Below are 23,697 nucleotides of genomic sequence, written 5' to 3' on the forward strand. Positions count from 1 at the left end.
CAGGCATGAGCCACTGCGCCCAGCCTCCTCTGCCCAAAGTTCTTAGCACAAACTCAGGAAAGAGTCACTCTACAAATGATACACAATTCAGAAGAACTTTAATGCATATACCATCATTGCCACTATAATAGAGATAGAAGATACATTAAGAAAATTCAGTTTGTATCAATAAAACAGATCAACACAGAACAAGGAAACACCATAGATATTTGTAAATGAGATCTTCTCTTTTGCTACTGTGTATATATATTCCTTTATATTTATACAAACTCACAACACATGACATTTCATATTTCATATGCCACTGAGAAGAGGTGTCAGTATACAGAACATAGGAAGAAGAAAAAAGCATGAGAACATCTGCTTAGTTAGAATCTGATGAGGAGAGACGTGAGAGCTATTGTTCCTCTCTCTGCTCAGGCCTATCGAGAGGCAACTGCAGTTTTTGCTAATTGTTCCTCCTGAGGAATTCTGCTCATACTGCTATGGTACATCTCCTAGGTTGGCATGAGACCAGCCTGGTCCCCAGTTGAATAAATTAGAAAGAGCAGTTGGGGGAATTGAATATGATATGCAAATTGCATAAGGTGACATCTCTCTGTGTGGCCACAGAGATAGATCATCTGCTCCTGGCTCCTTGATCTGAGGGAAGCCTCTGCTGTTCAACCTGCTCCAGGGTTTAATTCTGTTGGGGTTGTGGGGCTGACAACAATGTGTTCCTTTCCTTCCTTCTCTCCCACAAGCAGAGGAAGTCATACGTAGACAAAACAGATGTTTAGGTTTTCTCTTCAGCAGGCTTCCTCTTGTTCCCCTCTATCACCCCCAGATAGGTGAAGTTCAGAATTAGGACTGCCCACTGCGGGGGGAACAGACCCTCCCCTGTTCTGAGACTAACCCTGCCATTTACTGCCTTCTCTATGTAGTCTTGGATAGGTTGCTTCACTGATGCAGGCCTCAGTCTTCCTCATCTGTACTGGAAATAATAAAACCCACATCACAGTGTTGTGTCAAAGATCATCAGGGCATGGATGGGAAAGTGCTTTGGGAACTGTAAAGTGCCTAACACATGATCGATGATTTTTGTTATAATATTTGAATCACGGTGCATACAAACTCTCCTGCCTGCTCCTCCTGGGCCCCAGCCCCAGCCCCATCACAGCTCACTGCTCTGTTCATCCAGGCCCAGCATGTAGTGGCTGATTCTTCTTGGCTGCTTTTAGCCTCCAGAAGTTTCTCTGAAGCCAACCAAACCTCTAGGTGTAAGGCATGCTGGCCCTGGTATTTCTAGATGAGGTTAGGTTCCTGGGACAGGAGTGTGTATTGAGGTGGAGGGAAGGAGCTGAAAGAAGGAGGGGATCCTTGGAAAGGGCTCTGAGAGGGGTGTATTCGTTTCATTCTGAGACGAATACCATCTATCCCCCTAGACTCTCACAGTGGCTCCACCTTAAATGTCCACAGCATTTCACTTTCTAAAATGTACTTTTATTTGACTCTCATAACTATTTTGTGAAGTAGGGAAGATTGTCAGCCTCATTAGGTGAAAATATGTTGGTTCAAGATCACACAGTTAGTATGCTGCAAAGTCAGGACTCAAACCCAGGTCTCTGGAATCCTGGTTTTCTGAATGTCGGAGGGCACCTCTAACAAAGGCTCTGGAGCACTCTAAACTCTCATTCTGGGCTCATTCCTCACTCCTGGAGGCTGATTTCTGGGGGAAGGAGGAAGTGCATGAGGTACCTTTCTGTCACATGACTGGTGGCAGACCCTACTTTAACCCAGCCCAACAAGGTCATGCTACAGAGCTGCTCATGGCATTTTCCTGGACTCTCCTCCCTTGGTCCTGACTGGATTCTTCTACCCTGATCCACTTAGTAAGTTCAAGCTCCATCTCCTACTTACACAATGCCCCTTCTCTTGCTCCTTTGCTCATGGTGTTTACACTGGCTTTCTCCAGTCTCTGGTTCTCAGTCCCCTTACAAAGATCCTGGATTAGATTTGCCTGCCTAGCTCTGCCTGATTGGGATTACACATTGTGTAGTGCCAACATCACACGTTCGGCATCTACTGTGTGTGCACGGCACTGCACTAAGGGTTTTACACCCATTCTCCATTTAATCCTTTCAACAGCCTTGTGAAGTAGATAGTATTACTTCATTTACATATGAAGTAACTGAGGCTCACTGAGGCTCCGGGAGTCATCTTCCCGAAGTCACAAAACTAGTGATGAAGACCCAAGAACTGAACCCAGGTCTGTCAGACTGTAAGCCCTGTAGGCTTAACTATTCTGCCTTATGACCTTCTGAAACCTCATCCTGTGGTCTGATGTCTACAGGGGTTGGAAGATAGTTTACTACATGAAATCCTTTAGTTTCCAGGCTTTTAGCTGCATGGCAGAGTTTGTCCTGAGAAAGATCTTGCCCAGCTCAGCCTGGCACACACGGGTCCATAAATTAAGTCCTCCTTGAGGTGGAATGCATTTCTGGCACATAAACATGGCTGCCTGGTGTCTCTTTTCAAACAAATGGGACTGTGCTCTATTCTCAACAAGTGTCAGAGATTCTTGTTTCTCTTCCTCTTGTTACTCTTTAGGAACCTCCAGCCTAGAATAGTCAGGCATGGACCATCCAAACACAAATTGCTAAGATGCTTTCTGGCAGCCTCAGAAACCAGGACCATACGCCTGGCTAAGTGATGAGGGGGTCACACAGCCTTGGCTCTTTTCACTGTACCCGAAAAGAAAGGAAGCTTTAGTAATGAAAGGATTGCTGCCAAAATCCTGTTTCCCCCTTGCAGATCTTACAGAAAACAGCCACAGAATCCCAAGGCATCAGCACCAAGAGAGCCTGTAGAAACTATCTGGTCTAAGCTCCTGAAGCCCAGAGATAAGAATGACTTAACCCAAGCTGCACAGCCTCTTAACAGTCCACTGTTAACCCCAGAAACAGATGCATTTGAATCTGAAAGGAGACAGGAATCCTAATCCTACTGCTCAGGGACTTGCTGATTTACTTTGCTGTCTATTAGCCTTTCTGTGACATGATTTTCTACCAAGCAAAGTCTTTTATTCAAGTCTCCCAGAGATTTCCTATTTAAGCGTTTGCTATTTGGCCACTTAAAAAAGACAGAAGAGAAGTAAACAGAAGCATATACCACACAACTCAGTCCAGTCAGTAGTTGACTCTCAAGATGGCGGATGTCACTGAGATGGCTGAGAAATAGGAACGGATGTGGAGAAAGGAGTGGCAGTGGAGTTAGCTGTTTTGTCTACCTGCTGGATACCTGGGAAGCCAGACTCTGTGTGGACAGTGATCCCTAGTCATAGGAAACTTTGCCTGTGCTGTCATCAGTGTCCATGGAGAACTGCTTCTCACCTTGAGAAATCCCTCTTCTTCGTTCCTTCAGGTACAAGAAGAGAGGATGGAGACGAGGGTAGGCTTCTTTTCAGATTATACATTCTGGATCAGAAAGTCTATATCAGTGGGATTTTCTGAATGACCCAGGTTTTTTTTGTTTGTTTTTGTTTGTTTGTTTGTTTGTTTTAGAATTTCTGTGCTTTGGAGCTAGAAGGATATATAAATGAGAAAACTGAGAACAAAAGAAGAGACAATATATTTTTGGTTGCAAGGGATAAGAACCTAACTCCAACAAGCAAAGCAAAGGGGGGTTTTATTAGAAAGATACATTGAGCTTTCTATCAGAATCAAAGGAAGAGGTGATCAGCCAAGCCTCCAAACCAGAATCAGGGTCTAGAAAACCAGAGACCACACTCTTTCTCACCTTATGTCTCTGCTGCCCTCTGCCTAATGGCCTTGTTTTCGCTTACTATAGACCAGAATTTACACAGGGATGGAGAATAAGCCATCACAGCTTTAGACCTCATATCTTCAAATATTTGCCACTCAAATGGAAAAAGAATAGGTCCAGCTTTTTATAAAAATCTTAGGGAAGGATTCTGATGGGCCCTGCTTGATCACATGCTCCGTTTATTGACAGTCTTCACTAGAATCACCTGGTTTGGGTTAGGGAGTAGTAGTACTACTAAAGAAGAGATTACTATTTCTGGAAGAAACAAGGAGAGAGGTGACAGCTGCTTATTACAGGAAATGATTTACCAGAGATCCTATAGCAAGTTAGGAGCGGACTCAGGGCTAGAAACAGAATCAATAAAATAGGTATTAATAATAATGGAAGTCTCTGAATTCTCTTCATTTCTTTCCTTTTCTTCTTTTTTTTCTTTCTTTCTTTCTTTTTTTTTTTTTTTTGAGAGGGGGACAGGGTCTTGCTCTGTCACCCAGGCTGGAGTGGCACAGTGTACAATCATGGCTATGGCTCACTGTATTCTTGACCTCCAGGGCTCAATCGATCCTCCCACCTCAGCCTCCCAAGTAGCTGGGACTATAGGTGCAGGCTACTTTGCCCAGTTAATTTTTTGTATTTTTTGTAGAGACAGGGTTTCACCGTCTTGCCAAGGTTTGGATTGTTTTTGTGTGAAGTAAACCTCAGTGTTACTGAGCCGTTCATTTATTTAGATTTTTAAGAGATTGCCATTGAGGCTGGATGCGGTGGCTCATACGTACAATCCTAGTGACTCAGGAGGCCAAGGCAAGAGGATCGCTTGAGGCCAGAATTTGAAACCAGCTTGGGCAACATAGCAAGACCGTCTCTATTAAAAAAAAAAAAATATATATATATATATATATATATATATATATATATATATATATATAAAAAATGTTACTCCTGTGAGACAGAATGGACTAGAGTGGAGTAATTACGTAAGTAGGGAAATGTTAGGAACTCTGTGGTAGCTCTCTAGGGCAGAAAACAATGGTGGCCTGGACCAAGGTCATGCCAATGAAAATGGAGAAAAATGATCAGATTTGAGATATATTTAGAAGTAAAACCCTAGGATCTGCTGCTAGATTAGACAAGGAGGCTGAGAAAAAGAGAAAAATCAAAGAATTAAGGATGAGTTTTCTGTGAAGACTGGGGTTCAAACAAGTTTGGGGGCAGAATCAAGAGTTTCAATTTGGACATGTTAAGTTTGAGACATGAAAATGTCCAGTAGGCACTTAGATACACGTTATTATCAAAGACTTGGCATCTAAAGCCTCGGGACTAGACGAGTACATCAAAGAAGGAAGTACAGTTAGAACAGAAGGCCCAACTGTTCTTGGAGCCATCTTTTCTATATATACTGAATCTTTCTGCTGGGCTTCTGGCCAGGAACTTCCGGTAGGAATTACAACCATTATCTACGGTGAATCCTGTGAAATGAGAAGTCAGATTCATCCCTCGGGGATAGCTAAGAGGTATCCAAATGGACTGTTTAACAAGCATCAAAACTTCTTCATCTCGAGTGTCTTGATTCCTCCAAAGTAAATCCTTTGGATCACTATTAAACAAATGATAAGACTGCCCTGCCCTATACAGTTTTGCCACTTGTCTTTGGTGATATCATCGGAGCCATGTTTTAAGACCCCAGGACATCTACCAGACTTAGTTTCAGAGGACTGAGGGTGCTTCCTGTGGTAGATTGAAAAATTGGTCACCATATTTTGTAGCTCCTCCCATAAAGAGATGGCATCTATTTCCCCCTCCCCTTTTTTTTTTTTGAGACTGAGTCTGGCTCTATCGCCCAGGCTGAAGTGCAGTGGTGCGATTTAGGCTCATTGCAACCTCCTCCTCCTGGGTTCAAGCAATTCTTGTGCTTCAGCCTCCCAAATAGCTGGGATTACAGATGCCCGCCACCACACCCAGCTAATTTTTGTATTTTTAGTAGAGATGGGTTTTCACCATGTTGGCCAGGCTGGTCTGGAACTCCTGACCTCAAATGATCCGCATGCCTTGGCCTCCCAAAGTGCTGGGATTACAGACATGAGCCACTGAGCCAAGCCCTATTTCTCCATTTCTTAAAACTGGACTTGGCCATGGAACTTGTGTTCATCAGTGAGACATTGGCAAATGTGATGGAAACAGAGCTTGAAAAGTGCTTCTGTGTTGGATCTTGCCCTCTCTTGCTTCGAGGAAACTCCTGCTACCATATGGACAAATCTGGGCAGCCTTCTGGAGGATGACACCACAGGGAGAAAGGCCTCAACAGCCCCAGTCATCTCAGCTGGGACCCCAGACATGTGGATGTAGCTATCCTAGACCATCCTGCCTCAGCCAGAAGAACCACCCAGCCAACCCACAGAATCATAAGAAATGATACATGTTTGTTGTTTTAAGCCTGTAAGTTTTGGAGTGGTTGGTTACGTCCTTCAGAAAACAACAATGAACTCCTAGCCAGGCAGTCTAACAATGTTTCACAGGTAGAGATATTCTTTCTCCTATCCTCAGTCTTCTTGGGGCATTTGTATTTGATCAGTCATCAAAGGTTAGTACTAAAAGGTGAAAGCTTAGTTGAGGAATGTAAAGCAATGGCCAGTGGGTAGCAGAGATATTTGGGAGCAGTAGACTCTTCCAAGAGCCCCTGAAACAGTTTCTCAAAGGTGATTCCGGTTTCCCAGTTGAGTGTTCTCACAGCATCACGTGCCTTTCCTTTAGAGTACTTTGTAATTATATTTGGGTGATGATTTGACAATGTCTATACTAAATCATGAAGCTATACGTTTCATGAAAGCAAGAACTGTGTCTAATTTGCCACTACTTGTATCCTGGCACATAATATATATTCATTTGTTGAGAAAATAAATGAATAAATAAATTTGAATTTTGTCTACTTCATATAATGGATCAGGACCTTAAAAAACCATCATTTAACAGTATTTATATCTCACGGACTAGTGTTTTGCATTTACTTCCAGCCACAGGATGCTACTTGATTCCCCAACTATGGCAGGTAATTGGGTGTAGGCTTGGGGCAGGGAATCTGAAATCAATGAGATCCCAGGACACTGGTTATTGTAGTTCTTTCCCCTTCCCCTAAACTGTTGGCAAACAAAGTCAAACAAACATTCCTCAGGATACTCCAGAAAACTCGATATCCAAGCAAGGAGCTTAGTGGCCGGCAGGAGCAGGTGATATGAGTTGGGGAGTCAGGTCTGGAGAATGGTCTTATTCTGTGGATGTTATAAGGCTTCGGTCACCAAGCAATTGTGGCTATTTAATTAACTGAGGTTATTTAACTCTAAGAATCCTTGGGAGCCTGGTACTACCAGAGGGTATATCCCATCTACCCTTCTGCTAAGACAATCTGAAGAAAAAAATTTGAAAGAGCATGAGTCAGACAGAGGAGGGTTCAAATGATGCTAGTGGGTGACTTGAGCATGTTAACTTTTCCAGGGCTGTTTCCTTGACTGCCAAATTGGGATAATAATATTTTAGAAACAGCATCTCCATTAGATCATAGGACCTTGCAGGCAGGGATCATTTTTTTTTTCATCTGTATTTATCTAGTGCTTAATAATGCTAGGCCCTAGTCGATAGTCAAATAGCTAAGTGTCTTCTTAGAGGTGATCCAGGACCTAGTCCTGGCTCCATCACTGTGATACTCTCAGAATAATTAGGAGATTTCCTTCCATTCTTTGGATGTCAACCTTCCCTTCTATAAAATAGGAGCCTGGAACAGATCTTCTCTAAGCTCCTTTCCAGATCTGATAATCGATGAGTCTGTGACCATTCAGTACACTCTACTCCACTGCTGCTCCTAGAAGTTAATAATGCTATAGACTGAGGAGACAATGAGTCACGAATCACTTTGTATTTACAGATACACATGCATTTAAAATAGATGTAAATAAACACAATACTGTATTGCACTTTTGGCCACTTTTGCGTCTTTAGAAGTCAAGAGGTGTTTTTTGTTGTTGTTGTTTGTTTGCTTGTTTTGTTTTGAGATGGAGTCTCGCTCTGTCACCCAGGCTGAAGTGCAGTGGCACGATCTCGGCTCACTGCAACCTCTGCCTCCCAGGTTCAAGCGATTCTCTGCCTCAGCCTCCTGAGTAGGGATTTCAGGTGCCCACCACCACGCCTGGCTAATTTTTGTATTTTTAGTAGAGATGGGGGTTTCACCATGTTGCCCAGGCTGGTCTTGAACTCCTGACCTCAGGTGATCTGCCCACCTCGGCCTCCCAAAGTGCTGGGATTACAGGCATGAGCTGCTGCGCCCAGCCAGAAGTCAAGAGTTTTTAAATATTTTATTTGGATTGTTGAGGAAGATTAAATCCAGGACAAGTTGCCACTAACACATATTACACAGCTTGAACCTTGGTGGCTAATTGCGCTATTACTGTGATTGATGAACACTATGCTGCAATCAGCTGGAAGCTGCTGCCTTTCATTTGACAGAAATGAGGTCACAGAGCAGGGCTGGGGAGCTGCCATCTCACAAGCAGGTCTGGTTGTCTGTTGCCCAGTAGACAAGCTTGCCACTATAACATTTAACTCTTGATTCCATCTATTGTGAAGATGCTTGTTCCCTTGAACTGGCTCCTGAGTTTTACAGAATTTGACAGTTTTAAAGAAAACGATTTCATCTTTGCCTGGATATTCAGTAGGAGAGAAAAGATTATTGGATATAGATACTAAAATATCCAGGCGTCATGAGGACCTTGGTCTGAAATCCTAGTACTAGAGTAGGTGAGTGTTAATGACCAGAAAAAAATAGTAATTATCCATGACACTGTATACAATGTTACAGTGTAAAAATCACACCCAGAACCACTGCCCTCTGAAGCAACTGTATTATACCCATGGTCAGAAAAGTTAATCAAGTCACTCTTCACAAATGCCCCATTGCTGGAGCATAGAGGCTGTTCAAAGTGGAGCATGGAGGCTCCTGCTGATTGGGAGCCTGATAAGTGTTGCCTGGCAGAGGCAGATACAGGGAAAGCCAGCACTTGGGACTGGGAAGCACTGGGCATTTTCTACCCAGGCCCATGGGATCTGTTGCCTCAGAGACTGACTCGCCTTTCCTGAGCATTAGACATCCATCACCTGGGATTAGTCTGAGTAGTTGAGCAATTTGTTAACAGATTAGAGATATACATCTTTTCTCCAGTGGACTTGGAATCTGATGGCCCTGGAATTGAATCCTAATGTGGCTTTAACACTCTCTTGGTATGTGATCCAAGTCTCGTAATCTCTCTGGATCATAGTTTGTCTATAAAAGATGCAGCCCAGAATGTGGTTAAGAGCACAGACCTTGGAGCCTACTGCCTGGATGTGAACTCCAGCTCTACCACTTACTTATTATGTGACTTTAGAGGTCCAGCTAGAACCTCTTTGTACCTTTGTTTCCTCATCTTCAAATGAGGCTCACTATAGTGCCTCCCTCACAAGATGTTGGGAAGATAAATGAGTTAATGCACGTAAAATGCTTGGAACAATGTCTAGTACAGAGTAAGCATGACATCAGAGTTGGCCGAGACAACTCTTGGATGCCAATCCTGATCTCTCAGGTTTGTTTGGTGGATCAACTGAAATGGTGAAGGTGAAAAAAAAGAGACACCGAGTTATTAGTGCCAAAAGAGACCTTAAAGATCATCCAAATAAGCTCCCTCATTTTATAAGTAGGAAATCAAGACTCAAAAGTGGAAAGTAACTGGCCCAGAGTCACAGTTGATTTAATGACAGAGTCCGGGTCTCCTGATTCCAAGTCCAAAGCTCTGCTCTCTGCATTGCATCAAAGAAAGCAACATCTTTGTAGAGCTGACTCCTTTAAAAAAAAAAAGAGAGAAAGAGAGACAGAGAGACAGGGTCTTATTCTTACTCTGTCACCCAGACTGGAATGCAGTGGCATAATTACAGCTCACTGCAACCTCAAATTCTTGGGCTCAAGCAATCCTCCTGCCTCAGCCTCCCAAGTAGCTGGGACTACAGGCATGCACCATCACATCTGGCTAATTTTTTTTTTTGTAGGGATAGAATTTGACCACATTGCCCAGGCTGGTCTCAAACTCCTGGCCTCAAGTGTTCCTCCTGCCTTGGCTTTCCAAAGTGCTGGGATTACAGGTGTGAGCCACAGCTGGATGGTCCTTTTATTTAGTCATTGGACTGGTTGCTAGTTAATTACTTTTCTAGGACAATGAGCCTCATTTGAAATGAAAAGAAAACTGGCGAGAGACTCCTCCTGCCCGCTGACTTTTGAGGTGGCTGAGGATTCAGGCCATGATAGAGAAGAAAGGTTTTCTGGAATCACTGCCAGTTCCATGTCATTATTTCAGCCAAAACAAAATATGTCCCTGTGGCCAAGCAAGCTAGAATAATGAGCTAATTTATTCTGGTCTCTGAGTTTCTTTTATTTTTTTCCTCAGGTATTTAATTAAGGGGCTTCCACCAGAAGTGGTTTCCCACACTCTCTGGTAGAAACTAAGGTTTCACTCCCAGGAGAAAGGGGTTGGGATCGGGATCTCTGAGTTCAATTTTCTCAATTTTTTCAGAGTCATGCCACCTTAAGATTTATTTTGCTTTGAATCATACTTCTCAGTTAGACTGCTCAAGAGCAGTTAAAAGATGGATTGGAGGAAAAGGGCAGGATAGGGAGAAGACCCTATGAAGAACAGCAGATGGAATTATAGAGGTATTTGACCTAGAGAAAAGGCAAGTCCCAGGAGTCATGATTCCTGTTCTCAAATAGTCTGAAGACGTCACAGGGCAGAGGGAGCACAGACTGTGAAGTCTCTGACAGCAGAGCTGGTACCAACAGGGAGGGAAGAAGAAGAAGAATTTCCAGGAGGCAGATTTGAGCTCGATACAAGGAAAACTTTCTATGAGAGTTGACAAAGATGGTGTGGAAAATGAGCTCCTGTCCCTGCCTAGAAGGTGTGCTTTAAAAGAAAGAGATTTGATTGTTAGGCTTGACAGTCACTTGTCAGAAAAAGGAAGGTTAGAACTGACTAGTCAGACTAGGTAAATTTGGGCATCCCGTCAAATCTAAAATCCTCAGGTTCTAGGAGTCTAAGAACTAATAACCAATTTCACTAAGTTCCCACAGTTAAGAACCAACTGGAAAGCAGCAAAATCAGAAACTCATGATCTGTTTCTTGATCTTGCCTGTTTCTCTTTTTCTCTGTTTGTCTTTCTTGAGCATACCTACTTGCTCTTTCATATAGCAGGAACCTCTGACATTTTGTAGGGGATAATCCTTTTCTCTTTTTTTTTTTTTTTTTTTTTTTGAGACGGAGTCTCGCTCTGTCGCCCAGGCCGGACTGCGGACTGCAGTGGCGCAATCTCGGCTCACTGCAAGCTCCGCTTCCCGGGTTCACGCCATTCTCCTGCCTCAGCCTCCCGAGTAGCTGGGACTACAGGCGCCCGCCACCGCGCCCGGCTAATTTTTTGTATTTTTAGTAGAGACGGGGTTTCACCTTGTTAGCCAGGATGGTCTCGATCTCCTGACCTCATGATCCACCCGCCTCGGCCTCCCAAAGTGCTGGGATTACAGGCGTGAGCCACCGCGCCCGGCCAATCCTTTTCTCTTAAGTGTGTTTCTGACTCAGCCTTTGCTCCTTCAGCATCATTAGAGAGTCTGAGCTCTCTGAAGATTAGCTCTTCCTGTCGCCACAGCAACTGCCCAGGCCCTGTGGGCATCCGTGGTAACAGGCGCAGGGCTTTGAGAGCCCAAGCTTGACTTGTAGTGAGAGAAAGCCCCGCAGGGAGCCCGATAGGAAACAAGCACGTTGTGCTTTGAGAAGTTGTCTTTAACAGGATTAGCTATGCAGGCGAGCCTCACTTTACGCAATTGGCATGCCCCTGAAGAATGTGTGCGTGTCAAATTTTGGTAAATGGAGGAACTCTCATTTTAAAGGCAGAAAAGAGACTGTTCTCTAAGTCCCTGTAGTGAATCCCCTTCGTAAAACAGAGTCTTCTTTTGTAAAGTGATTCTGCACCCGTGTAGTGACCTGTTATGTTAGTCTAGTGCTGAGTATCTATTACTGGGACCATCTGCAGAGAACCCCAGGGGCAGGCAAAGAATAGCAGCAACTCATCTTGCTCTGAGTGTGGGCAGTGTGTAACAGGGAGAGTGGGCTGAGAGCGGACAGTGTGTAACAGGGAGAAGCAGACTGGGTGTGGGGCCACAATGAGGGGAGGTCAGGAAGGTGGGCCTTGCCTAGCATGAGCAGTTCTGCTGCAGCAGCGGTGGGGTGTCCGAGAGACGCGTGTTCTTGGAGGAGCCCAGCATCGACGGGTCTGTGTCCAGCGAATCAGACATCTTGTCACAAATGGCATCCACCAGGCGCTCAAAGGCCTGCCTTACACTGATGTTCTCCTTTGCACTGGCTTCAAAGAAATCAAACCCTGGAAAGAGGAGAGATACAGATAAGGACTTTTCCCATCCCTTCTGCTGGAACCCTTCTGTGCCCTCAGCCCAAGCACTCTGGATTAATATGTCCAGTGCTCAGCAGTGAAGCAAAGAGGCTAAATTCCACGGACATGGGATTCTGCTTCAAGGAGACGGTACAGGGCAGGAGTTTCCTGCACTGGTCTTTCAGTCAGACTGATCCTAGCTCTACCACCGCCCAGCTGTTTAATTCCGGGCTGAGTCATTTATTCTCTTTACAAATCAATTTCCTGGTTTGTAAAAAGGGATAATTTTACCTACTTCATAGAATTATTTCAAGGATCAGGCAAGACAATGTATGTGAAATATATAACCCTGTGCCTGACACAGAGGGGGTCATTAGTGTTTGCTGACAGAGCAAATGCATAAACGTGTGTCCACAGCACCTTACAGTTTCCAAAGCACTTATCACATAGATTATTTTATTTGATCTTCATGTTGCCCCTGAGGAAGGAGTCTCAGTCAGATCCTCTCCACTTCACTAATACAAACACTGGCTTACAGAAGTAAGCTAGCTTGCCCAAGATAAGGAAAAGCACCAGTATGAGAAGCCCAGGTTTTGGACTTTTTCGCAGGGATTTTCCTCCTCTTTCCCCTGCCTCTCATTCCCCCTAGGCTGGCCAGCTCTAGTCTGGGCTCTAGGAGGCACCTCAAGATTCACACTGAATAAGTCTTCTTTGCCCTTTCCACCCATAGCCACACTGGTTTATTTCCACTCAGTGGGGTTCCTCCTCCCTGAATTCCACTAAAACGATCCAATAGATCTCACCCTCCCTCCACAAACCCAACAAAAGGCCCAGGGAAAACTACATCTCAGGTATGCAACATTCTTGTCTATTTTGTATCTTGAGACCCTTAGCGTCACTTTCTGTGATGAAAAGAACTTGGTTGTCCCAAGAGACACAGCAAAGGCCCTCCTGATTCCAAAAGGCTGCTTTCCACCCAAGGAATCTTGGTCAGCTTGGTGGCAGCCCTTAGAAGCAAAAGTGGCCCTCTCCATCAGTCCCCAGCCCTCTCCCACTTCTGTTGTCTGTCTGCTTTCCTCTTTCCCTTCTTTTGGAGCCTTTCCCCTGTGTCCCTTGCATTTTCTCCTTGGGATTCCTAATATCTTTGGGGCAACTACTACATGCCAGACACTATGCTAGGAGCTTTACTGATATCATCTTCTTTAATCCTCACAATAACCAGTTGGGTAAATAACATCATCTCCAATTTATAAATGAGAATATGAGAGACTGCATAACTCACACAAAGTCATGTGGCTGTATTAGCGGAAACTGGATTTAGACCTGGGTTTGGCTGTCTCCAAAGTCCACACACAGCTCTGCCTCTCATTTCTTCCCCCTTTTCTCTTTCACTTTGCATTTTTTTTTCCTGATTATACCTTTTTCTTCCTTTACAAGTCTCTTTGGCCTCCTCTGCTTTAATCCGACTAACAGTATCTGAGTCTGGGCAAGTCACTTCACCTCTCTGCTCACTTAACCTCTCCAATTCTCAGACTCCCTGTTGTCAAATAAGACAAACAACAGTGTCTTCCTACCAAGAACAGGTGGGAGGAGTGTGTGAGATGATGAATACATTGCTGTAAAAAAGTGGCCTGTTATAAAGACAGTTTCCTTCTGTTCTTTCAACTTGTTCCTCCCACCTCCTCTCCATCTTTCTAACATCCTCTTTTATCATCTTCTCTAACAAAGGAGGGATCTCTTTCCCCCCTCCCTCTTTCTCCCTATTATTCCACCATCCATAGAGAGGGCTGAAGCCCCCCAGGTATAAACAAGGCCTCTCTTTTCCCAGCCTTTTGGCTGGAAGGCACATGCCATTCCTGCCAGCCCACCTCCAGCTGACAGCCTCTCCTGTGGCCCATCTCCTGACCTGAGAAAGACAAGCAGCAGAAGTGCCTGCTAATTGTGGACATGTGATGAAGAAGGAGGCAGCTGCTGGCTCATTATACTCAGGCCATAGAAACCCAGTCAGCTTCAGAGACCCTCCAGCATATCGTTTTTCCTTAATGAACGTCACAAAAATGGACTCCCCAGTCTTTGACTGCCTTATCACAAGTGGCAGTGTTTGGGGAGGTGCGGGGAGTGTATTGTTTATTTGGGAAAGAGGCAGACCAGTAAGTAAGTAAATAGGTTTTCAGCTCAGATGAAGATGAGGACACAGTTCAAGGCCAGGGGCACAAATCCCTTGTGAGGAAGTGGCACTGAGGGGAGGACATGCCACATTGTACAGAGGGCAGCTACTAGCTGTGTGATCTTGGACAAGTTGCCTAATTGCTCCCAGTCTCTGTTTCCTCATCTATAGAATGAGGCGAATACTACCTACCCCATAGGATAGTAATGAAAATTAAATCCATGAAAGTATATGACATGATTGGCATGTGAATACATGGCAATTCTCTTTCCTATATGTTCCTGGCCCACCTTACTCCCAGCTTCCTTGCACCTCTACTGTCTCCAGGGCCTTTGGGGAAATCTCTTTGTCTTCATCACTTAGGGTCAATCAATAAGCCAGGTCTTTTTTTTTTTAATTTCATTTTTATTTATTTATTTTTTGAGAGACAGAGTCTTGCTCTGTCGCCCAGGCTGGAGTGCAGTGGCACAATCTCGGCTCACTGCAACCTCTGCCTCCCGGGTTCAAGCGATTTTCCTGCCTCAGCCTCCTGAGTAGCTGGGATTACAGGTACCCACCACCACACCCGGCTAATTTTTGTATTTGTAGTAGAGACAGGGTTTCACCATGTTGGCCAGGCTAGTCTGGAACTCCCAACCTCAGGTGATCTGCCCGCCTCGGTCTCCCAAAGTGCTGGGATTACAGGCATGAGCCACAGTGACTGGCCCACCAAGTCTTTATTGAGCATTGACCTTGTGCCATGTCTTGTGTTGAGTGTTAGAGATACAGACACAGGGAGATCAATTATAGTTGTAGAAAAGACATGCTAATAAAGGCATCAGTCTCTCCCATCTGCAGTTCACATTAACAGTTCACAAATACGAAAACAACCATGTGAGTGGGGTGGGGCAAGGCAAGGGTTAGCACTTGTAATTTGCAGACAGGAAAACTGAGACTCAGAGATGGGCCAGGGGTCTATCCCTTATGCCTCCTTGTCTCACGCTCAGTTGGAACAGCAACAGAACAAGCTGTAACATTCTAACCCAGGTAGAGGAAACCAGAGGCCATGCAGGGATGCAGGAGAGGGAGAGGCTGGCAGGGAAGGAGAGGAGGAGGAAGCTTCTTGAAGTTAGTGAGGATGTGAGCCTTTAAAGTCAGAACTCAGGCTGGGTGCAGTGGCTCACGCCTGTAATCCCTGCAGTTTGGGAGGCCGAGGTGGGTGGATCACCTGAGGTCAGGAGTTAGAGACCAGCCTGGCCAACATGGTGAAACCCTGTCTCTACTAAAAATACAAAAATTAACCGGGTGTGGTGGCACTGCCTGTAATCCCAGCTACTCGGGAGGCTGAGGCAGAAGAATTGCTTGAACCTGGGAGGCAGATGTTGCAGTGAGCTGAGATTGCGCCACTGCACTCCTGCCTGGGCGACAGAGTGAGACTCTGTCTCAAAAAAAAAAAAAAAAAAGTCAGAACTGAGCAAAACTGGCTAGGTGCTAGTGGCTCAAGCCTGGAATCCCAGTACTTTGGGGGTGCCAAGGCAGGAAGGTTGCTTAAGGCCAGTTGTTCGAGACCATAAATAAATAAATGAATACACAAATAAATTACATTAAAAATAATTAAACAAAACTCTTCACCTAACTTCTTCTCATTCTTCAGGACTCAGCTTACATATGGTATCTTCATTCTCCTCTGTGCTTCCTCCTGCCATAGCACTTTTTACCCTGCATGGCAGAAGTCCATATAGACAGGGAGCTCCCCAAACAGGAACTATGTCATTCTGAGCCCCAGCACCACCTGGAAGAGTAGGTGCTTAGTGAATGTTGGTGGAATGAATAGTTGAATTAAGGAGGTGGGAATGAGCAAGGAGGGTGTGGTTGAGGGGATACGGATAGTGTGGGTCATGAAAGCTCAGCTCAATGAGCACGGTGCTGGGCATTGGGGACAGCAAGGTGAATCAGACACAGCCCTTACCTTTGAGGAGCCCCTAGTGTGTTATGGAAGATAGACACATTGACAATATTACAGGGCAATAAGTGTTGGAATGGAGGGAAGCCAGGGGATTGTCAGGGCACAGAGAAAGCATCTAACCAAGCCTGGAGACCAGGGACGGTTTCTTGGAGAAGCTGATGCTTAAGCAGATATCAGCTAGACAAAGACATGTCACTGTGAGTGTATGTGTGAGCACAGGCATGTCTAGCATAGCACAACAGGCAGGGGAGACAGCATGAATAGAGCACAGATAAGGGGGCAAAATCAGCCTTGGTCTATGCCAAAAGGGCCATAGCAGTTTGTTATCCTTAGAGCAGAAAACCCTAAGTGGTGAGAGTTGAGTCAGCAGGGGGCCAAACAGGGGGAGCTCTTGTGTCATGCCAAAGAGATGTCTTTACTGTCATCTCAAAGGTACCCGGAATGTGAGAACTGTGACTCAAGTTACCAACTCATGGGTCTAGCCAGCTCAAGGGCCTCTCTTGCTTAGCAGAATAACCCCAAATGCACCCCACCCAATTACTGTCAGATTCCTGAAATATTCTTCATTAGTAGGTCCATATGGTAACCTTTTCTTCAGGTTCATTAATAAGGACTTTTAGGAGCTGAGAATCTAGTGAGGCCAGGAAGATGACAACCAATTATCCAGACTAGCCCCCAGTCCTTTTCTTCTCCTAATTGGCTTCAGAACAATGACATTTCTGCTGTTTTTAATGGGGCTCAATTCTTAACTGAATCTGAGATGTTCCTCCACCCCCCAAAAATGATCACGTTTATCTACTCTGTCCAAAGGCAGCTGTCACAGACCCATAGACTGCATCCACACTGCCTGCTTCTGAATACGACCTCAGAATTCTATTCAGAAACTTGCAACCAGCTAAACTCACCTCTCCTCATCCCAACACTGCTCCAGAACATGTCTCCTCCACGGTTCAGATCCCTTCTCCATCCTGCTCTGACACCACCTCATCTCTGTCATTTATCAACCTTCAACTCACATCCTCTGGTCACTGATGATTTGGGCTCAGTGGGACTCACTGTCTTCCTTTCTACTCAAGGCTTGTTTTCATTCTCTGGAACTTTGAGTGTCATGTGGACAATCCATCCGGCACCTTGGATGGACCTTCTCTTCCATTTTGCTTCAGCTATTCACCTGTCCCTATAACTTGAGCTATTTTGACTTGGATTTGTGTCACTGGAATTGAAAGAGGTCTGATCAATTCAATATCCAGCCTCACTGGCTGAACACCCAAGACCTGGCATGGCCTGGTCTCTACTCCCCCAGCTTCATCTTCCTGGCTCACACTATGCTCCAGAAACATCAGTGCTTCCTGATTTTGTGCCATTGCTCATGTTATTAATCTCTAGCTACTACTCCTAATCATCTTCATTATTCATCTGTGGAATTACTGATCCCAGAGAAGCTTCACTTTTTCTTCCCCACAACACCTCTACCACTCAGAACATATAATGTCTCTCTCCCCTGTACTCTCATGGCACTTTGTGTGATTGTTTCAGTCAGATTCCAACCAGAAAAATGGGAACTATTCTTTAAACCAGAAGGAATTGCTTATATAGGTGATGGAAGAACTAAGAAGCTAAACAGAATATTGAGGAAACCCAGAGATTATCAAAAGCAAAAAATACTAGTATTAGAGCTAAAAGATGCTGGAACCATGAGAGCAGGAGTCACAGTAGAGGAGCAGCCCCTGCTGGGGGGCCAGCTGAGGCAGGGGGAAAATACCTGGATTTCTCCCTTTGCTGCATCTCCAGTCACCTGCCAATATCTTCCTTTGGCTAGTCCCAGCCAGAAGCTACCATCACAGGAGGCTGGGAAACATAGCCTGCAAAGGTCAAACCCTCAGAAGGGGTTGCAGGAAAAACAACAGGAGAGGGTGAAAAATAATAGCAAGTAGGATGAGGACTGGCATAGCCATCGACCCAAAGAAGGTTATAATTATCTGTTTGCAATTTTGTTTCCCTAGTCAGTGTGCATCTTGAGGGAAGGGAACCCATTCACCTCTGTGTCCCCAGAGTCCATGATGTGTTCAGTGACTGTGAACTGCCCTGCCTGCAAGAGATTTTATACCTCCACATTACCACTAGCTTGCAGTGCCTCCTTGTGGGAAGAATACGTCTCCCCACTCCATTGACATCGAGTTTGATTATGTGACTTGCTTTGGCCAATGGATGTGGGCAGAAGTGATGTGATCCAAGTCCCAAGGAAGCTTTAAGAGGCTTTGTGTGGTTTAGCCATTCCAAACGGACCCCAGAGTAAGAAAATGCATGGAACAGAGTTGCAGCTGACTTGTAGCTGGTATGTAATGAGTGAGAAAGAAACCCTTATTCTCCTGACTCAGGCTGTGTGTTACCACAGCATAATCTAAAGAAATCTCACCAATATTGTGGCTGAGGGTGGAAATGTGAAGAGAAACTATGACAGGCTTTTGGGAAAACACCATTGGATGATATGAGAACATTAGGATTTTAAGTCAAAGTCTGAGTTTGAGTACGGGGCCTGCCATCTACTACTTACATGGCTTAGAAAAGTTACATAATCTTAGAGTGGGAAAATAAAGGCACAGAAGTGTGGCACAGCTCATTGTGTGCAAGAAAATGCAAGTGGTCTGGACTCAGCTTCTTCATCAAGAAAATCACTGGTTTACTGTACTGGTGATAATATACTATGTACTATACAGCAATACAGATACTGTATTACAATAGCTGATGATAATGCAGCCTTCTGTGCTAGAAGTGACAACAAAGGTCACAAGAGGATTTTCGTGAAAGCATATTGTGAATTTTAAGTCACTGTTAGTTATTATCAATGCCAACTAGGCCTTTCTTTCTCTGCAACCAGACTCAATGACACAAGGTTCCTTGGTTCATCTCAATCTAGAAAACACACACACACACACAGATTTATTGAGCACCTAAAATAAGCAAGGCAGTGTATGAGAGTCTGTGGGGTCTGAGTCATGAATGCGGAATTGGGTAAACTGAAATCACAGAATCAAAGTGGGATAGGGCCAAACAGATCTTCCTACTCAACTAATCCAAACTGCATGTTTTACAGATAGGTAAATACAGAGACCCAGAGACAGCAAATGCAATGCTCAAAGTCACATAGTAAAGTAGTAGCAGAAGCAGGATAAAACTCTGAATCTCCTAATTCCTAGTCTGGGCGTGCTTTTCCCACTACACTATGCTGGTATGTGTGTGTTTCAAAACTACATTTTGGGCTGGGCATGGTGGCTCAAGCCTGTAATCCCAGCACTTTGGGAGATCAAAGCTGGCAGATCACTTGAGCCCAGCAGTTTGAGACCAGCCTGGGCCACACAGTGAAACCCCGTCTCTACCAAAAAAGCAAGCAAACAAACAAGAAACATAAAAGTTAGCTGGGCATGGTGGTGCATGCCTGTAATCCCAGCTATTTGGGATCAGGAGACTGAGGCAGGAAGATTGCTTGAGTCCCGTAGGTGAAGGTTGCAGTGAGCCAAGATTGTGTCACTGCACTCCAGCCTGGATGACAGAGCAAGATCTTGCCTCAAAACAAAATAAAACAAAAAACTACATTGTGGATGGTCTCTCCTTCCTTTGTAGGCAGAAGCATATTTCCCTTTTACTAGCCTCCCTGGGTTCTGGTCAGATCTCCAGTCAGATCCAGGAAAGGGACAAGAAGCCCCTTTCCGAGGAGCACATGGAGGCAGAACCCTAAAAGGTCATGCTTCTTGAAATAAAAGTCCCTAAAACTCCTCTACTGTTCCAAACACCCACCTGCCTCAGCATCTATATGATCTCAACCAAGTCCCAGGAACTTTGAGGATATGGAAGGCCAATCACAACACACAGCTTTTTTTTTTCTTTTTTTAGATGGAGTTTTGCTCTTGTTGCCCAGGCTGGAGTGCAATGGTGCGATCTCTGCTCACCGCAACCTCCGCCTCCCCGGTTCAGGCGATTCTCCTGCCTCAGCCTCTCGAGTAGCTGGGATTACAGGCATGCACCACCACGCCTGGCTAATTTTTGTATTTTTAGTAGAGATGAGGTTTCTCCATGTTGGTCAGGCTGGTCTCGAACTCCCGACCTCAGGTGATCCACCTGCCTCGGCCTCCCAGAGTGCTGGGATTACAGGCGTGAGCCACCAAGCCCAGCCTCACAGCTTTAATAAACACGAATTGTTGGCCATATCAATAGTCTTGACTGAGAGAGCTGAGAAAAGCTACAAGAAAGGGAATCCTGAGGAGGGATCCCATAAAGCAGAGAATGGCATTACTGCACTGGCAAAGATACCACTGAAACTGACTTAATACCTGAGACAGCAGAGGGGTAGTCACTGGGTGAGGGTGAGGAAGGCTGAACATCCCCCTTCACTGTTCCCAGATCTGATCATATCCTTGCAAAATTCTTAACGTGGTCTACAAGATCCTGCATCATCTGATCTCTCCCCATCTGTCCATCCTCATCTCATGCTACTCTCCCTTGATTATTTAGTCCCTGTGCCATGGCCTTCTTTCAATTTCATGAATATTTCATGCTTTAACCCACATTGGGACTATTCTGGATGTGGAATATGCCCCTCCCTACACTCTACTCTTTGCCTGGCTAGCCTTTTCTCATCCTTTTGTTCTCACCTTAAGTGTTACTTTCTCAGAAAACCTTAACTCTCCAGCCTAAAATTAGGTTTCTCTCTTGCACTTCTTCATAGCACTTGTGGTGGACTTATGTTAACTTCTATCTGCCCCCTTCATTCCCTCCTTTAGGAAACCACCATTTTAAACAGTTATATTGGGACTATGTTGCCATACTTGCCTCCCCCAGCCACTGGGATGGGCACATGACTCACAGGTGACCAATCATAGTATTCTCTGGGATTGATTCATAGTGGTTGGGAGAGAGAAGGTCTCTTTTTGCAGGAATTGGGAAGCCATGAATCTGCCATCATCCCTCTAACTCCCCACGCAGAGAGTCTGGCTATAGAAAGAGGCTGAGGGGATAAGTAAAGCTGAGAAATGGAGAGTGCAATTGAGCCCTGGGTCTTGTGGACTTCCCAGTTACAGGAGCTAATACATTCTCTCCCTTTTTTTTTCTTTTTGAGATGGAGTCTTGCTCTGTCACCCAGGCTGGAGTGCAGTGGGGCAATCTCAGCTCACTGTAACCTCTGCCTCTTGGATTCAAAGGATTCTCCTGCTTCAGCCTCCCGAGTAGCTGGGACTACATGCTCGGCTAATTTTTGTATTTTTAGTAGAGATGGGGTTTCACCATGTTGACCAGGTTGGTATCAAACCAGGCTGACCTCAAGTGATCCACCCACCTCAGCCTCCCAAAGTGCTGGGATTACAAGTGTGAGCCACTGCGCCCAGCCAATTCTATTTTTTTTATTAAAGCTAGTTTGATTTGCAATTTTATCACTTGCAATAACAAGAGTCCTAACTCAAGTAGAACTTATCACAATTTTAACAGCTGTATTGAGCCATAATTCACATACCATACAATTCACCCATTTATTTGCACAATTTTTAATTAATATTTGTGTAAGTATTTATTTAATGTCTCTTTCCCCATTAGTTCCATGACAGTAAGGATTGCAGCTGTTTGTTCATCATTCATTATATCCTAAGTGCCAGGGCAGAACTTGGCTCAGCGTGCTCAATAAATGTTTTTCACTGAATAAGTAAAATGTATTAATGAATATCTACCCTATGCTGGGTCCTTAGGATAATGAAACAAATCAGACACAATCCATGCAGTAGAAGCCTAGGAGGAGAGATAAACATGTAAATAGGCAAGTTCTGGTGATCAATAGCAGAAAGCTCAGGGAGTCGAGTTAGGCAGAGATGGGTTACTTTGACCTGCCCAAATCTAACCAATTCATTAAGGTCTTCTTCAAGTGCCTTCCTAAAAACATGGCACTAAGATTTAATCTCAGGTGTTCTATCTGTGTTCCTAAATAAATTTGATAGGTTTATACTGAGTCCACCACTTGCTAATGGTATAGCTTGAGCAAGTTATTTAACCTCTCTGAACCTCATTTTTGAGAGTATTGGACATGCTCTATAGTACCTAGCTTGAAGGTTTATAAAGAGACTTAAATGAGATAATTAATGCTAAACATTTCACATAGTGCCTTGTTCAATATATATCAGCTATGATTACCACATTTGCTGTGTAGTAAAGTTAAGTGGTTAGGAGCACAGGCTCTGGGAGCCAGACTACCACCTGAGTTGAAATACTGGTTCTACCCTCTTACTAGCTGTGTGACTTTGGCAAGTTACTCAACTTCTCTGTGCCTCACTTTTCTCATCTGTTAAAAAAAACACACACACACAAAATGTGGAGATAAGGAAAGAACATATCTTGGAGGGTTTTAGAGGGATTAAATTAGATGCATAATACTTTGAAACACTTAGAATAAATAGTGCCTGACACATGGTAAGCACCTAATAAATGTTTAACCAATTCACCTTTAAAAAATCTTAGAATGGCCATACAAGGTGGCTCATGCCTATAATCCCAGCACTTTGGGAGGCTGAGGTGGGCAGATCACCTGAGGTCAGGAGTTCGAGACCAGCCTGGCCAACATGATGAAACCCCGTCTCTACTGAAAATACAAAAAATTAGCCAGGCATGGTGGTGGGTGCCTATAATCCCAGCTACTCAGGAAGCTGAGGCAGGAGAATCACTTGAACCCGGGAGGCAGAGGTTGCAGTAAGCCGAGATCGCCCCACTGCACTCCAGCCTGGGTGACAAGAGTGAAACTCCATCTCAAAAAAAAAAATCTTAGTGAGAAGGGCTTGGCATGCTGGTATATTTTTTTCTAATACATATCCAAATATGTATTAGAAAATAAATACAGAAAATCATCCTGCACAATTCCAGTGGCGTGAGTCCCCTCTTTGGGCAACACTACTCCAGACTCACACCATCCAGTGATTTATGGTTCCCTGACCCACAAGGCAGCTCCTTGCCTCTGCCAGGGTTATGCCCCTGCCTGGAATGCCCTTAACTTTCTTCTTCACTGGACTGGTCCTACTTATCTTCAAGACTCCACTTGGGCATCATGTTCTCTGATCCCAGGAGAATGACGTTCCTCCTCTATGCTCCCCCAACATCCCTCTGTCACAGCCCTGACCAATTGGACTATGACTGTTACTGTAGGCTTTCTCACTGGATCGAGCTTATTCAGACCAGGAAATGTAGCCTATTTCACAGCTCAGGGCCTAGAACAGAGTAGGCACTCAGGAAGTCTTCACTGGACAATAAAATGAAGTACCCAAATACTTAACATCATAAAATTAACCAAAACATATTTTTGCATCCT

The 23,697-nt window shown here is 44.6% G+C and overlaps 1 protein-coding gene across 2 annotated transcripts in view; it reads right to left on the bottom strand.

Moving 5' to 3' along the window:
* Positions 1-81: 81 nt before the first annotated feature.
* Positions 82-23,697, bottom strand: part of RAB3B (RAB3B, member RAS oncogene family) — an 82,745-nt gene continuing 59,129 nt past the window's right edge. For both annotated transcript variants that reach the window (NM_002867.4, XM_017001958.2), the window contains exon 5: positions 82-12,240. In NM_002867.4, coding sequence (NP_002858.2) covers positions 12,053-12,240 — 188 coding nt within the window. In that variant the 3' untranslated portion in view covers positions 82-12,052. The remainder of the gene's footprint in view (positions 12,241-23,697) is intronic.

This window comes from Homo sapiens, chromosome 1, assembly GCF_000001405.40.
Source record: "Homo sapiens chromosome 1, GRCh38.p14 Primary Assembly".
Lineage (NCBI taxonomy): Eukaryota > Metazoa > Chordata > Mammalia > Primates > Hominidae > Homo > Homo sapiens.